Source organism: Homo sapiens, chromosome 19 (assembly GCF_000001405.40).
Source record: "Homo sapiens chromosome 19, GRCh38.p14 Primary Assembly".
NCBI classification, from domain to species: Eukaryota; Metazoa; Chordata; class Mammalia; order Primates; family Hominidae; genus Homo; species Homo sapiens.
The window spans coordinates 11,550,869-11,567,075 of NC_000019.10; the positions used below are offsets into that span (position 1 = coordinate 11,550,869).

The 16,207-nt window shown below is 51.7% G+C and overlaps 1 protein-coding gene across 4 annotated transcripts, besides 5 other annotated features; it reads right to left on the minus strand.

The window, feature by feature from the left end:
* Nucleotides 725-1,696: an enhancer, noted in NCBI's record as "H3K4me1 hESC enhancer chr19:11662408-11663379 (GRCh37/hg19 assembly coordinates)". NCBI's record gives its function as "activates a minimal SCP1, AML or CMV promoter by ChIP-STARR-seq in primed H9 embryonic stem cells {active_cell/tissue: H9 hESC(primed)}" and the evidence as "EXISTENCE:reporter gene assay evidence [ECO:0000049][PMID:30033119]".
* Nucleotides 1,066-1,360: an enhancer, noted in NCBI's record as "tiled region #1596; HepG2 Activating non-DNase unmatched - State 12:CtcfO". NCBI's record gives its function as "activates a minimal TATA promoter and a strong SV40 promoter by Sharpr-MPRA in HepG2 cells {active_cell/tissue: HepG2}" and the evidence as "EXISTENCE:reporter gene assay evidence [ECO:0000049][PMID:27701403]".
* Nucleotides 1,780-1,899: an enhancer, noted in NCBI's record as "active region_14023". NCBI's record gives its function as "activates an Ori minimal core promoter by ATAC-STARR-seq in GM12878 lymphoblastoid cells {active_cell/tissue: GM12878}" and the evidence as "EXISTENCE:reporter gene assay evidence [ECO:0000049][PMID:35858748]".
* Nucleotides 2,178-8,362, minus strand: ELOF1 (elongation factor 1). 4 transcript variants are annotated; one of them, NM_001363675.4, is made up of 6 exons: nt 8,323-8,362; nt 4,477-4,707; nt 4,306-4,361; nt 3,364-3,497; nt 3,143-3,213; nt 2,178-2,942 (listed from the first exon to the last, which is right to left on the minus strand). In NM_001363675.4, the coding sequence occupies exons 4-6, from the start codon at nt 3,477-3,479 to the stop codon at nt 2,878-2,880; spliced, it is 252 nt and encodes an 83-aa protein (NP_001350604.2). In that variant the 5' UTR covers nt 3,480-3,497; nt 4,306-4,361; nt 4,477-4,707; nt 8,323-8,362; the 3' UTR covers nt 2,178-2,877. The 4 variants fall into 4 exon arrangements, with proteins under 4 accessions (NP_001350604.2, NP_001350603.2, NP_001350602.2 ...); NM_001363674.4 differs by lacking the exon at nt 4,477-4,707 and having other exon boundaries at nt 4,306-4,385; NM_001363673.3 differs by lacking the exon at nt 8,323-8,362 and having other exon boundaries at nt 4,306-4,385; nt 4,477-4,599.
* Nucleotides 3,558-3,757: an enhancer, noted in NCBI's record as "active region_14024". NCBI's record gives its function as "activates an Ori minimal core promoter by ATAC-STARR-seq in GM12878 lymphoblastoid cells {active_cell/tissue: GM12878}" and the evidence as "EXISTENCE:reporter gene assay evidence [ECO:0000049][PMID:35858748]".
* Nucleotides 9,686-9,980: an enhancer, noted in NCBI's record as "tiled region #7075; K562 Activating non-DNase unmatched - State 1:Tss". NCBI's record gives its function as "activates a minimal TATA promoter and a strong SV40 promoter by Sharpr-MPRA in K562 cells {active_cell/tissue: K562}" and the evidence as "EXISTENCE:reporter gene assay evidence [ECO:0000049][PMID:27701403]".

Genomic DNA, 16,207 nt, shown 5'->3' on the forward strand with positions numbered 1-16,207 from the left:
CAAGACTCCATCTCAAAAAAAAAAAAAAAAAAAAAAGGCACAGCCAGAGAGCCAATGCGCGCGCGCGTGCACACACACACACACACACACACACACACACACACACGACCCACACTGCTCTCCCAGAGGCTTGTGGATGGTGGTGACAAAGAGCCTGAGTACTGGGACAGGCTAAATGGCATGTGAATCACAGAGCAGCTGCCTGGATGACCTCGGGCAATCACTTTCCCTCCCTAGACCTGTTTTCCCATCAAAATAATGGGGACAGTAAGCCTCTTGTGGTCATGAAATGACACCCCCAGATGGGGTGATGTTCTACATGTTTAATCGCTGGTAAAGACCAGGCATCAATAGAGAAAGGATGACAAGTAGGGGTCCTGGTGGGCCCTGTGGGCAGGGTGAACCCTTTAGCCCCAGACTGTGGGGAGGGGAAAGGGGACAGGGAGAGGGGCACTTCTGAGCCAAGGCAATGGCCCTTTACTGACTGGCACAGGGCACCATAGGGCACGGTTAATTCTGTGCGCCCCGCCCGCTCTCAGCCGTCTTAAGGCTGAGCCTGCCAACCCGGGACTCTAAAAGGCTGTGTCCAGGGCCTCAACCTCCTCACATTTCAGAGGGGACCCTGTTATCCCCGGGAGGAGGGAGAGGTCCCCAACCATCAGGATTCCAAGGAGGAGAGGAGGCAGAGAAGCGAGGAGCGCGGCACGGAGCTGTCTTCTCCCCAGGGAGGGCAGGAGTTGAGGCTGGAACGTGGAGACCTGCGGAGGCAGACACCAGAAGACCCGCGCACAGACGCACGCAGCCCCTGGGGCCTCGTAAACCGGATTCCAGGCGCTTTTGGCCTGGCTACCGCAAGTCCTGCTCCCCCTGGGCCGGCGCGGGGAAGCTATGCTGAGGAGGATCCGGGCCTGGCCCAGGGCCCTGCCTCCTCGGGAAAACAGCACCATATTAGCACTTAGCCTGTGAGGCTGGGGTGGGCGGGCGGCAGGAAGGGCCTCGGGTGCCAGAGGAATGAGCCCCCTTTTTGCTGGATCCCAGAGGGCCATCACCCTAAACCTAGGTGCCTGTCCACCACTCTGCGCATGTGTGCCGGCTCCTGCCAGGGCTAGCAGACCTTACCTGGGATCTTGGAGGTGGCGGGATAACCAGGGAAGACATGTCATGGCAGAGTGGGCCTGAGGGGGTGCACAGGCCAGACCCAGCAGCCCAGTCTGGCAGCCAGGGCTTCCGGGCCAGCTCAATGTCTCCCCCCGCTGTTCACATCCGTCAGTGCCCTGGGTGGGCCCCAGAGCCGCTCAAACCATGCCTGGCACTTCCATCCTCAGCATGGCTCCGGGAAGAAGGTGCTTTCATCCCCTGCACTGTAGCAACGAGGACTCTGAAGCACAGGTCACCTGCCACCCGGGCTCATGAGGCCAGGTGGAGGGTCTGGCACTGCCCCAGGTTGCTGGGTGTTGTGGTCCTTGTCACCGGTGCGACCAGCTAAGGGGACATCAGCCCTCAGGTGCTCCCCATCGGCCACACACATCCCGCCCCAACACCAGCCTTCTGAGAGTCCTCACCACCCTTGAATAAAGGCCCCTTTCATGTTTCCCTCCCGTGTCCCTCTTCCACTCACTACCTCCAGAACGGCCTGTAAGCTGTTCCCTCAGCCTGGACTCTGGGCTCACAAGAAGTCAGACTGTAAGCTGTGGAGCCTCGTTTCCTGGGTTCAAATCCCCCCTGTGCCACTTTCTGGCTGTAGGGTCTTGGGCCAGTGACCTCCTTCACCTCTAGCCTCTGTTTCCTCATCTTTGAACTTGGGGTTAGCTTGGCACCTGCCCCACAAAGTGGCTGTCAGGACACTGGGGCGACGCAGGAAGGCCAGAGGTCAGCGTCTGGCTAGAGGTGGCCCTACGGTGTCACTGTCTCAGCCTGCCCCTCCCAGAAGCCTCCTCTGACCACCTGTTCTGTCTCACCTCCCCCATTTCCTATTGTGACTGCTGTAAACACCTGGCCAGATGTCTGCCTGCTCCACCACCCTGAATGCTTACTGACTGAATAAAACGCTGGGTGGTTTGAAGGGCTGGTCACATGGGCCACCAGGCCACCTCCCGAACGTCAGAGCCTCAGGTCCCCTCTCCTTCTTCTGGTGACCAGGCAGACGCAGAACCCAAGACATCACGGACAGCAAGGGATGTGCGCTGGCTGCTTTATTTAAGGGCTTGTGATTGACAGCTGTCCCCATCCCAGCCCTTGCTTCCTCTACAAAAGCAACTGAACATGAAACGGGCTTCCTGGTTACCATGGGGAGGGGGGCGGCTCCCTGTCAGGGCCCAGCCCAGGGACCTGGGGAACGGCGGCTTTGAATCCCCGGCCACGGGCACTAGAAGGTGGAGAAGGAGAGCGGGAAGTCCAGTTGAGATGGGCACGGTGCTGGTGAGGAGGCTGGAGAGGTCCTGTTCCAGCCTCTAGTGGGCTTCCCTTGTCCAGGATGTCAGGAAACAGTCCCCCAATTCCGCCGGGGGGAGCCAGAGCCCCAAGGCTGGGGGGCCAGGGGCTGCAGGGAACACAGCAAAGGCTTTCGGAGCCAAGTGAGATCAGTTCAGGCCCCTCAGGCCCAGGAACCCGACACCACCGCGTACCTGTGAGCACACACTCACGGCCACCCCAGTGACACGTGCAGCCACACACACCCACACTCACTCACACCCACACCCACACGCACACCCACTACACACACACACACACACACACACACACACACACACACACACACACACACGGCTGTGACAGCCCAGGACCCACACCCTGGACCCCTGGAATGTCTCTGGACCAGAACCGAACAGCTGGATCCACAGTACGCGGGGCTGCTCAGGGGGCGGGTCCTCTGTGTCGCTACTGATTGGCCGCCTCGCAGGCGTCTATCCAATCACTGTACACATCCACGGGTTCTGACAGATCTGGGCCACTTAGGTCAAGGGCGATCATTGGCATTGGAACCCTGCCCTGCATCTTCTCACCCCACAGAAATCACTAGGTGGCACCTGTTCCTCTGGACGGCTTTGGCCCTGCACCAGGGCACACAGTGGGCCAGATGAGCAGGGTCCGGACTCCAGCCCCCTCCCCACCCTCTGGAAAAAGCCCAGGTTTCCAAGGATACACGTTATGGGCGTCTGGAATTCCTCTAGGCACACGGTACAAGAGATGACTCCGGTGTTGCGGGCACGGTCCCTGAAACAGACCAAGAGAAGGGACTGGTGAGCAATGCGTCCTGGGCCTGTGGGTGATGACGCCTTCACCAAGGGAGGCAAGGGGCAGGATGGAGAACAGCGGGGAAGAGGCAGTGGGGAGGCTGGATCCCTTGCCCTGTTCCCCACTCACATTTTCACATCACAGGATTTCTCGTGGTTGCAGAAGGGGCAGGTGAACTGGGTCTCGAGGGTGCCTGTCATCTTCTTCTTGGGAGGCGGCTTTCGTTTTGACTTTCTGCGCCCCATGTCTGCAGGTGGATGAGCCTGTGGGGAGTGGCAGATGTCAGTGGTTTGAGGAAACCACGCAGCGCCCCAGCTCAATGCTCTAGAAAGCAGGCCGGAAAGAGGGTCTGGGACTTGCACCGTGGTCCCGGGGCCTCTGCCCTTGAGGGACGAGGCCCTCAGTCCTGATGCAGGAGGACAATTCCCTGTCCCACTCTGGATGGAAGGGGTGAGACGAGGCTCTAACCCCATCTCTCTCACTTACTGCGTGACCTGGGCAGGTTATTTAAGCTCTTTGTGCCACAGTTTCCTCGTCTATAAAACAGAGACAAGGCCAGGCATGGTGGCTCACACCTGTGATCCCAGCCAGCACTTTGGGAAGCTAAGGTGAGAGGATTACTTGATGCCAGGACCTGGATACCAGCCTGGGCAACATAGTGAGGCCTCATCTCTAAAAAAAAAAAATTAAAAATTAGCCAGGCATGGTGGTGCAGGCCTGTAGTCCCAGCTACTTGGGAGGCTGAGATGGGAGGATCGCTTGAGCCCAGGAGTTTCAGGTTTCAGTGATGATCCAGAGTTATGATCCAGGCACTGCACTCCAGCCTAGGCAACAGGATGAAACCCTGCATAAAAAAAAAAAAAGAAAAAAAAAAGGCCAGGTGTGGTGGCTCACACTTGTAATCCCAGGACTTTGGGAGGCTGAGGCGGGCGGATCACGAGGTCAGGAGTTCGAGACCAGCCTGACCAACACGGTGAAACCCCATCTCTACTAAAAATACAAAAATTAGCTGGCCATAGTGGCAGGCACCCGTAACCCCAGCTACTCAGGAGGCTGAGGCAGGAGACTCACCTGAACCCAAGAGGCGGAGACTGCAGTGAGCCGAGATCGCACCATTGCACTCCAGCCTGGGCAACAGAGCAAGACTCCGTCTCAAAAAAAAAAAAAAAAAAAAAGTCGAAATAAGGTTGCTATCTCAGAGGAGACTTGTGGGGCTGACACCAGGAATGGTAAGTTAAGTACTTAGCACAGAGCTGGCCCATCATCGCTGGCGCCAATACAAGGAAGCCACTGTTCCTGGGGAGGGTGGCACAAGAGACTCCAAGACAAGCCAGCTGTTCAGGGCCGGGTGGAGCCTAAGAGCCTAGGAACTGGTGATTTTATTCTGGCTGCTCCTCTTGGCAAAGGACATGTAAGTACCATCCAGGAGGAGTGACACTCAGGTTATCTGATGGCCTCGATCCAGATGACAGACTGCAGGGCAGAGAAGTGGGGACAGGCACTTCTGAGTAGAGGAACACTGTGTGAAGGCTCAGGGCAGCTGTCCGTCCCCTGGCAGGTGAGGGAGAGAGGAGGGACAGGTGGGAGGGTTCTGGGTGTTTGGATGGATCCTGGGAGCTACAAGGAGTGAAAGGACAAAGTCACCCTGTGCTTTTGAGGAACTGCGGTGTGAGCCATAATCTGGATGAAGACAAAGTCACAGCCAGGACAGGGCTGTTGGGGTAGAGATGGCAGAGGGTGAGAGAGACAGAGGAGACATGGCGGCAGAGTGAGTGAGTGTGACGAGAGAAGGAAAGTCCAGGATGACTCCCAAGGTTGTGGCGGGGACATAGTGGCTAGAGGGACAAGGTGGCATCATTCTCTGATGTCTAACACATAGGAAGGACAGGGTTTTGGAGAAAATGATGGGGTTGGGTGGCAGAGGGATATCTAGGAACAGATGTCCAGGAGGCAGGTGGGTGGGGAAACGGCAGCAGTTACCACTGAGCCCAACTCCCCTGCGAGGCACGGTGCTCAGGGCACTGTGTTTGCCATCCCTGAGCCTCCTATGGCGCCTCCTCCAACACACACACACACGACTGCTGGTTCTAGCATCGTTCCACTGTGACGGGGAGGTCAGCAGCCTGCCAGTGTCTTCCAGAATAAACAGTGGAGTTTCATTCATTATCTGCTGATCACTTCCTATGTAATACCCCCAACTCTTTCTTTTTTTTTTGAGATGGAGTCTTGCTCTGCCGCCCAGGCTGGAGTGCAGTGGCATGATCTCGACCCACTGCAACCTCCACCTCCCGGCTTCAAATGATTCTCCTGCCTCAGCCTCCCGAGTAGCTGGGAGTACAGGCATGCACTACCACGCGTGGCTAATTTTTTGTATTTTTAGTAGAGATGGGGTTTCACCGTGTTAGCCAGGATGGTCTCGATCTCCTGACCTCGTGATCCGCCTGTCTCGGCCTCCCAAAGTGCTGGGATTACAGGCGTGAGCCACCACGCCCAGCCAACACCCCCAACTCTTAACTGTGATGCTTCCAGTTCACTGAGTAAATAGAAGCAATCCAAAGACAGCTCCTAGGACCAACTCATTCAGCCATTCACCCACCCTCTTTATTTATCTAAGAGATGAGGTCTTGCTCTGTTGCCCAGGCTGGAGTGCAGTGGCATGATCACAGCTTGCTAAAGCCTCAATCCTCTGGCCTCAGCCTGCTCAGTAGCTGGGACAACAGGTGTGCACCACCATGCCCAGCTTCGGCATGCCTCCTTTACTATGGAAGTAAGTTCCTGCAAAAACAATTTGTTCATTCTGCCCTGGCTCCCATCCCCTTTTCTTTGAGCAACATCAAATTTTCCAGCTCCACTGGATCACTCTCACACACTTGTTATTACCTCTCTCCTCATTTAAAAAGGGGGAAAAAAAAACTCTTCATCCTCTTCCAGCTATGATCCTTTTCTCTGCAGGCTGTTTTAGTGTACAGCCATCTGCATTCCCACCCATCTCTCTGCACCCCTTGCCTCCAAACTTAGGTTACTGGTGGCTCCATACTGCAAATCCCAATGGCAGTCCTCCCATTCCAGAGGTCCTTCCTCCCCTGAGAGCACATGTGGCTCTCAGGATGCCATGTGCTCCCTGTCCTCTGCCTCACTGGTGGCTCCTGCTAGTCTCCTATGCTCCTGCCTCTCTGCCAACTTGCTCCAATGAAGAGAGCACGTGAGTTTGGGCCAGGCGCTGTGGCTCACGTTTATAATCCCAGCACTTTGGGAGGCCAAGGTGGGCAGATCACTTGAGGTTAGGAGTTGGAGACCAGCCTGGCCAACATGGTGAAACCCCATTTCTACTAAAAATACAAAAATTAGCTGGGCGTGGTGGCACATGCCTGTAATCCCAGCTAATAGAGAGGCTGAGGCAGGAGAATCGCTTGAACCTGGGAGTCGGAGGTTTCAGTGAGCTGAGATTGTGCCACCGCACTCCAGCCTGGGCAACAGAGCAAAACTTCATCTAAAAAAAAAAAAAAAAAAGGCTGAGTGCAGTGGTTCACGCCTGTAATCCCAGCACTTTGGGAGGCCGAGGTGGGCAGATCACGAGGTCAGGAGTTCGAGACCAGCCTGACCAACATGGTGAAACCCCATCTCTACTAAAAATACAAAAATTAGCCAGGCATGGTGGTGCACGCCTGTAATCCCAGCTACTCGGGAGGCTGAGGCAGGAGAATCACTTGAACCTGGGAGGCGGAGGTTGCAGTGAGCCGAGGCACTCCAGCCTGGGCAACAGAGCAAAAAGCCCATGAGTTTAATTGTTGGATCCTCTCCTTTCTGGCTATACTCACCACATGAAGATTTCACCCAGTCTTAGGGCTTCATGCCTACTCTACACTGAGGCCACCTGCTTCTCCAGCCTTGAGTCTGAACTGCAGACTCTGATCTATCTGCCTCAGCCACACCTCCACCTGATGTCTAACTTCCACCTAAGATTAAACATATCATGTCCAAAACCAAGCCCCTGACATTGCAACCTGCTCTTCCAGTCTTCCTCATCTCAGCTAACAGCAATTCCATCTTTCCGGATAATCAAATCAGAAACCTTGGATTCATCCTCAATGTCTTTTTCCCTCACACATTCCTTATGCGATCCTCCCCCTGCCCCTCTACCTCTGAAATATAAATTAGCCGCGGCACCACGCCCAGCTAATTTTTGTATTTTTTGTAGAGACAGGGACCCACCATGTTGCCCAGCCTGGTCTGGAACTCCTGGGCTCAAGAGATACTCCCGCCTCGGCCTCCCAAAGTGCTGGCGTTACAAGCATGAGCCACCGTGCCCAGCAATAACCATTACTGAATAAATCACTCAATCAGTTTGCTTGTAACTCTATCACTTTGGGACGTCACGCCCGTAATCTCATCACTTTGGGAGGCCCAGGTGGGAAGATCGCTTGAAGCCAGGAGTTCCAGACCAGCCTGGGAAACAGAGTGAGACCCTTCATCTCTACAAAATTACAAAAATTAGCCTTGAGTCTGTAGTCCCAGCTACTCGGCAAGCTGAAGTGGGAAGCTTGCGCCCAGGAGGTCGAGGCTGCAATGAGCTATGATCGCGCCACTGCACTCCAGCCTCGGCGACACAGCAAGACTCACTCTCAAAAAAAAAAAAAAAAGTCCAAACAAAATCTACGGATGAGCCCCAGAAGCTCATTTTGCCCAGGGACTACAGTCTCCCCATCCCATGAATGGGGTCTGGCTTGCACAAGGAATGCAGAGGCCTCAGCCTGTCCTGTGACAACGTTAAGTCCAAGAGCGCCAAAAGGGGATGGCAGAGGAGTCATCCCCCGAATCTGCTGGTACCCAAGAGGTGGGGGGTTGGCTGTTCCTCCAGACTCACTAAAGCTTCGGCATCGCCTCCCGACGGCCGCCGGGAGGAGCCAGGCGTCCCGGTAGTCGCGCTTGGAAGGATGGGGTCGGGGGGAGTCAGTCTCCCCGACCGGCTTTCCCCCAAGCTCGAGGTCCCAGGAGCCTCCTCCAGGACCCCGTAAACGCACGGAGTAGAGGAACTTCCAGTCCTGCCCACCCCCAACGCCCACTCGCACGAGCCGCACCAGCACTCACCTTCTCCAGCTGCGAAAGCTCCGTTCACCCGGGAGATAGTGACTTCCGACTCCTGCCGGAAGCGGAAACCCCTCTCCTACTTTCAGGTCCCGGCCACCCCCATCCCGGACAGCCCAGCAAATAGGCCCTGCCTCCTTCGCCGCTCCTCTGAGCGCACGCGTACTCAAATAGCAGCGCTCCGACGGAGACGCAGTGCGCCTGCGCAAGAGCCGGTGCGTATTTGCCTGTACCTACGCGCGATGCCAGTACTTCTGGTCAGTTTCCAGGAGCGGCAAGTGAGGAATATGAAATAACCTTATGGCTGAATCAGGGTGAAGGGGAAGCTTGTAAGCATGGAAGACGCTCTACTCAAACTAAAAAGTTCAAGTTCTGATCCAGCAGATGAAGAGGGAGGCCTGAGAGGCTGCTGTTCTAACTCGCTCCCAGGTGACTTCCATGCTGCTGATCCGCAGACCACATTTTGAGTGCCCAGATTGTAGTAGATGAGGTTGAGTGGACAGGCTGGGGCCAGATTCCATGGAGCCTCGTGGGCCGTGTTAAGGATTTTTATTTTTTATTTTTGTTTTATTTTATTTTATTTTTTTGAGACGGAGTCTCACTTTGTCGCCCAGGCTGGAGTGCAGTGGCTCGATTTCGGCCCACTGCAACCTCCGCCTCCCAGGTTCAAGTGATTCTCCTACCTCAGCCTCCCGAGTAGCTGGGATTACAGGCGCCGGTCACCGCGCCCGGCTAATTTTTGTAGTTTTTTTTTTTTTTTTTTTTTTGAGTAGGGATGGGGTCTCACCATCTTGGCCAGGCTGGTCTTGAACTCCTGACCTCGTGATCCACCCGCCTCGGCCTCCCAAAGTGCTGGGATTACAGGCGCGATCCACCCGCCTCGGTCTCCCAAAGTGCTGGGATTACAGGCGTGAGCCACCGCGCCCGGCCAAGGACTTTTATTGGTTTTTATTTTTGGTTTTGTTTTTTTCTGAGACAGGGTTTCGCTCCGTCGCCCAGGCTGGAGTGCAGTGACGCCATATGGGCTCACTGCAACCTTAGCCTCCCGGGTTCAAGCGATCCTCCTGCCTCAGCCTCTTAAGTAGCTGTGATTACAGGTGCGCACTACCATGCCTGGCTAATTTTTGTATTTTTAGTAGAGATGGGGTTTCACCATGTTGGTCAGGCTGGTCTCGAACTCCTGACCTCAAGTGATCCATCCACCTCGGCCTCTCAAATTGTTGGGATTACAGGCATGAGCCACCACACCTGGCCTGAAAAAGATATTTCAAGATGGAGAGAGAGAGGGGTTAGCTGTGTCACGTGTCCCTGAGTTGAAGAAGATGAGGAAAGAGAATTGACAGTTGAGTTTGGCAAGGGTCTGGTCCCTGCGGACCTTGATAAGAGCTGTTGCATTAGAGTGTTCAGGAAGATAATTTGTAATGAAATGTATTTCGAATACAGATGCTCTTTGATTTACGATGGGGTTACATCCCGATAAACCTATCATAATCAAGTCAGGGGCTGTCTGTAGAGGGATCTCTAGGATATCCCCTAGGGGGCAGTGTTACCCTGGTAACCGTCAAGTGTAACCAGTAGAACTGCCCTCTTGTGAGACCCTTTTTCAGTGCTGGAGCAAACTAGAATACACACAGGATGGAATCATACTATACAGTTACCGTGCAACTTGCTATTTCCACTTAACCATCTATACACGTATACCTAACTTTTGTTTTTAGTAGCTACATGATTCATAGTGCAACTCTGCCATAGTATAATCAACGGTTATCCTACTGATGGACAATTCCTGGACTTTCCTGAGTTTTGCCACTGTGATGATGCAGTAAATGTCCCTGAATCAGTATCCTTAAGACTGGATCTTTAGTGAAGCATAGTTTTCAAAAAATGACATTTGTGAGTACAGTGTCTCACCCCAGTAACCCCAGCACTTTGGGAGGCCGAGGTGGGAGGACTGCTTGAGCCCAGGAGTTTGAGGCTAGCATGGGCAACATAGTGAAATCCTGTCTCTAAAAATAAAATAAAATAAAATAAAAAACAATAAATGATGGCCGGGTATGGTGGCTCACACCTGTAATCCCAGCACTTTTTTGTTTTTGCTTTTTTTTTTTTTTTTTTGAGACAGAGTCTTGCTCTGTGGCCCAGGCTGGAGTGCAGTGGCGTGATCTCGGCTCACTATAACCTCCACCTCCTGGATTCAAGCAATTCTCCTGCCTCAGCCTCCTGAGTACCTAGGATTACAGGTGTGCGCCAACATGCCTGGCTAATTTTTGTATTTTTAGTAAAGATGGGGTTTCACCATGTTGGCCAGGCTGGTCTTGAACTCCTGACCTCGTGATCTGCCTGCCTTGGCCTCCCAAAGTGCTGGGATTACAGGCGTGAGCCACGGCGCCTGGCCCATCCCAGCACTTTGGGAGGCCAAGACGGGTGGATAACCTGAGGTCAGGAGTTCAAGACTAGCCTGACCAACATGGTAAAACCTTGTCTCTACTAAAAATACAAAAATTAGCTGGGCATGGTGGCAGGCACCTGTAATCCCAGCTACTCAGGAGGCTGAGGCAGGAGAATCACTTGAACCCCGGGAGGCAGAGGTTGCAGTGAGCCGAGATCGCGCCACTGCACTCCAGCCTGGGCAACAAGAGTGAAACTCCATCTCAAAAAAAAAAAAAAAACAAAGACATTGAGTCACAGGATGTATATATCTTTCATTTTGTTCATGATTGCCACATTAGTTTTCTCTTTTTCTCTCCTTTCATCCCTTCCCTCTCTTACTTCCCTCCTTCCCAGCTTTGTTGGATGTAATTGACTGAACATGAACTGCTCATATTTAAACCATGCCTGGCCGAAATTGCATGTTTTGACATACAGGTATATCATTAAAACATGACCATAATCAAGACAATTATTTCCATCACCCTAAGAAATTTCCTCTTACCAGTAGCCGAGTGTGATGGCTCATGCCTGTAATCCTAGCACCTTGGGAGGCCGAGGTGTGCGAATCACGTGAAGACAGGAGTTTGAGACCAGCCTGGGCAACACGGTGAGACCCCTTGTAGTCTCCACTACAAATACAAAAATTAGCCAGACATAGTGGCACACGCCTGAAGTCCCAGCTACTAGCGAGGCTGAGGCTGGAGAATCACTTGAACCCGGGAGGCGGAGGCTGCAGTGAGCCAAGATTGTGCCACTGCACTCCAGCCTGGGTGACAGATCAAGACTCAGTCTTAAAAAAAAAAAAATAAGAAAAAAAAGAAATTTTTCTCTTGCCCTTTTGTGCTCTGTCCCCTACTCCAGCCCCTGGCCCTAACTGATTTGTTTTTGGTTCCTGTAACTTTGTCTTTTTCAGAAAGTCATATAAGCTGAATCATACAACGTGTAGCCTTTTGAGCTGGGCTTCTTTCCCCAGCATAAGATGTTTGAAACTCACTCATGTTCCCAGCATTTTGGGAGGCCAAGGCGGGTGGATTGCTTGAGGTCAGAAGTTCAAGACCAGCCTGGCCAACATGGTGAAACCCCATTTCTACTAAAAATACAAAAATTAGCTGGATGTGTTGGTGTGCGCCTGTAATCCCAGCTACTTGGGAGGCCAAGCCAGGAGAATCACTTGAAACCAGGAGGCGGAGGTTGCAGTGAGCCGAGATCACGCTATTGCACTCCAGCCTGGGCAACAGAGCCAGACTCTGTCTCAAAAAAAAAAAAAAAGAAAAAAAGGAACTCACTCGTGTTGTTGGATATGTCAGCAGTTTGTTTCTTTTTTGTTTTCTTTTGAGATGGGGTCTCACTCTGTCACCCAGACTGGAGTGCAGTGGCACCATCATGGTTCACTGTAGCCTCAACTTCCCAGGCTCCAGCAGTCCTCCCACCTCAGCTTCCCGAGTAGCGGGGATTACACCTGTGCACCACCACGCCCAGTTAATTTTTGTGTTTTTTGTAAAGACAAGGTTTTGCCATGTTGCCCAGGCTGGTCTCGAACTCCTGGACTCAAGCAATCCACCTGCCTTGGCCTTTCAAAGTGCTTGGATTATAGGCATGATTATTATTCAGTTGTATTCTGTTATATGAATGTCCCACACTTTGTTTATCTTTTCACCTGTTAGTGACCTGTTTTTTGCATTGTTGCCGGTTGTTGAACAATTATTAGAGCTGTTATGAACCATTTCTTTCATTTTGAGGGTGGCAGATGACACCACTCCAAAATATGCCACTTTGGCATATGGATTGTTTCAGCTAAGTGCACTTGAAAAACAGTAGGTGCAGGAAAAGCACTCTGACCTCCCTCTTTTCTCTGGAAAACGAGATAAACCCCCATATGGAAGATGCCCTCCCCATCCCAGGAAGAAAGTAAAATTCTTTTTAGACAGGGTCTCATCCTGTTGCCCAGGCTGGAGCGAAGTGGTGTGATATCCACTTCCTGCAACCTCACTGCAACCTCCACCTCCTAGTCTTAAGCGATCCTCTCGCCTTGTCCCCAAAATAGCTGGGATCACAGGCGCCCACCACCATGCCCAGCTAATTTTTTTGTATTTTTGGTAGACACAGGGTTTCACTAAGTTGCCTAGGCTGGTGTCCAGCTCCTGAGCTCAAGTGATCCACCCGCTTCTGCCTCCCAAAGTGCTGGGATTACAGGCCTGAGCCACCGCGCCCAGCCCTAGAGCGTACAATTCTTATCACCAGAAGACAGGGAGTCAAAGCTGAGGAAAAAATGTACAAACAAACCTTGTTAAATGAACCCTTATTTTTCTAGTTATTTTTCCACCATTAACTGCTCTAGCCCAAACCCCTTTGTCTTGTCACATTTTCATAATTTACTACCCTTTTAAAACTTTATTTATAATATTTATTTATAATTTTAAAATTTATTTATATATTTATTTAGAGACGGGGCCTTACTCTGCTGCCTAGGCTGGAGTACAGTGGCACAATCATAGCTGATTGCAGCCTCAAACTCCTGGGCTCAAGCGAAACTCCCACGTCAGCCTCCTGAGTACCTGGGACTACAGGTGCGTGCCACCCAGCTAATTTTATTTTCTGTTGTTTTAGAGATGGGGTCTCCCTGTGTTGTCCAGGCTGTTCTTGAACTCCTGGGTCCAAGCAATCCTCCCACCTTGGCCTCCCAAAGTGTTGGGATTACTAGTATGAGCCACCACGCCCATCTATAATTTACTACTTTTTTTTTTTTTTTTTTTGAGAAGTCTGGCTCTGTTGCCCAGGCTAGAGTCCAGTGGTGCGACCTCAGCTCACTGCAACCTTTGCCTCCTAGGTTCAAGTGATTCTTCTGCCTCAGCCTCCCAAGTAGCTGGAATTACAGGTATGTGCCACCATGCCTGGCTAATTTTTGTATTTTTAGTAGAGGTGGGGTTTCTCCATGTTGATTAGGCTGGTCTCAAACTCCCAACCTCAGGTGATCCGCCCACCTTGGCCTCCCAAAAGTGTTGGGATTACAGGCATGAGCCACCATGTCCATCCATAATTTTCTACTGTTTGTCTAATACAGTAAATAAGTGTTTGACTGTAACTGCTTCTTTGGGTCTTCCTTTTCAGGGCTCCCATGTCCCATAGAACTTATGTTAAATATATTTCTATGCTTTTCTCCTATTAATTGATCAAATGTCAGTTTAAGTCTTAGGCCCCGCCAGAGATCTAAGAGGGTAGAGGAGAAATCTTGCCTTCCCTCCACAGGTCTTTGTGTGGATGTTCATTTGCATCTTTCCCTGTGATTGCTTGCTTGCTTGCTTGCTTGATTGATTTTGAGACAGGGTCTCACTCTGTGGCCCAGGCGGAAGTACAGTGGCATGATCATGACTCACTGCAGGCTTGACCTCCCAGGCTCAAGTGATCCTCCCACCTTAGCCCCTGCCCCACCCTCTCCACCCCACCCTCTCAACCCCCTGAGTATCTGGAACTACAGATAAGCACCTCCATGCCTGTTTACTTTTTTATTTTTATTTTTTATTTTTGGTAGAGATGGGATTCACTATGTTTCTCAGGCTGGTCTTGAACCCCTAGGCTCAAGCAATCCACCCACCATGGCCTCCCAAAGTGCTGGGATTACAGGCATGAGCCACCACATCCTGCCTCCCTGAAATATTTGATTCCTTCGGAATTTATTTTTGTATGTGGTCTAAGGTAGGGTTCAGGTTTTGTCTCATTCTAGTGCAAACTGACAAGGCAAATAACACCTCCTTTTCCATGAAGTTGCAATGCGACCTTGAACCTATATTATGTTCTTAAATAAATCTTCCTGAATTTGTTCTTGGATTCCCTCAGTATTTTCCTGAGTCAATGCTATATTGTTTTTGTATTTGTTTCTACTTTCTCTCTTGATATTTTCCCGAGCCAATGTTTTGTTTTGGTTTTTTTTTATTTTTTTTTATTTTAGAGATAGGATCTCACTCCATCATCCAGGCTCAGGCTGGAATGCCGTGGTGTGATCATTGCTCACTGTAGCCTCCAGCACCTGGGCTCGAGGGATCTTCCCACCTCAGCCTCCTAAATAGCTGGAACTACAGGCGTACACCTCCATGCCTGGTTAATTTATGTATTTTTTTTTTAAGTTGGGGCCTTGCTATGTTGCCCAGGCTGGTCTTGAATTCCTGGCCTTAAGTGATCCTCACATCTTAGCCTTCCAAAGTGCTGGGATTGCAAGTATGAGCCACCACACCTTACCCTGAGTCAATGTCAATGTCCTTTTTTTTTTTTTTTTGAGACGGTGTCTTGCTCTGTCACCCAAGCTGGAGTGCAGTGGCGCAATCTCGGCTCACTACAACCTCTGCCTCCAGGGTTCAAGTGATTCTCTTGCCTCAGCAGCCTCCCGAGTAGCTGGGATTACAGGTGCCCACCATCACACCTGGCTAATTTTTGTATTTTTAGTAGAGACAGGGTTTCGCTATGTTGGCCAGGCTGGTCTTGAACTCCTGACCTCAGGTGATCCACCTGCCTCAGCCTCCCAAAGTGCTGGGATTACAGGTGTGAGCCACCACACCTGACCCTGAGCCAGTGTGTTACTATTTTGATGACTGTATGTTTTGCTATTGGTAAGGCAGGTATCTCACCTTCTTATTCATGATTCTTGGCCTGGGATGCTGTTTAGGAAGTGGACATGGCCTGAGTGTCAAGTGACAGACAGCCTACTGGCTGCATGAGAATGCCAGTCCCTTTTTCAGCCTCTAGTTTGACAAGCAGAGTGGCAAGATGATAGTGTCTGTGACAGCTGAAATCAGGAGTGGTTGGTTGCTCAGGAGGATCGAGAAGAGATGAAACCCTGCCACTTGCCTGAGGGACTCTGCTGTCTCGTTTCTTGCAGGTTAAAAGGCATCTTTCCAAAAATGGCTGAACCTGGTGTGGTGGCTATGCCTGTAATCCCAGCATTTTGGGAGGCCAAAGTGAGAGGATCACTTGAGGACAGGAGTTCAAGACCAGTTTGGGCAACCTAGGGAGACTCCATCTCTCTTTTTTTTTTTTTTTTTTTGAGATGGAGTCTTGCTCTGTCGCCCAGGCTGGAGTGCCGTGGCGCGATCTTGGCTCACTGCGAGCTCCACCTCCCAGGTTCACACCATTCTCCTGCCTCTCAGCCTCCCGAGTAGCTGGGACCACAGGCGCCCGCCACCACGCCCGGCTAATTTTTTTGTGCGTGTGTTTTTAGTAGAGATGGTTTCACCGTGTTAGCCAGGATGGTCTCGATCTCCTGACCTCGTGATCTGCCCTCCTCGGCCTCCCAAACCGCTGGGATTACAGGCATGAGCCACCGCGCCCGGCATTTTTTTTTTTTTTTTTGGAGACAGAGTCTCAGTCCATTGCCCAGGCTGGAGTGCAGTGGTGTGATCTCGACTCACTGCAACCTCCACCTCCCGGGTTCAAGCAGTTCTCCCACCTTAGCCTCCCAAGTATCTAG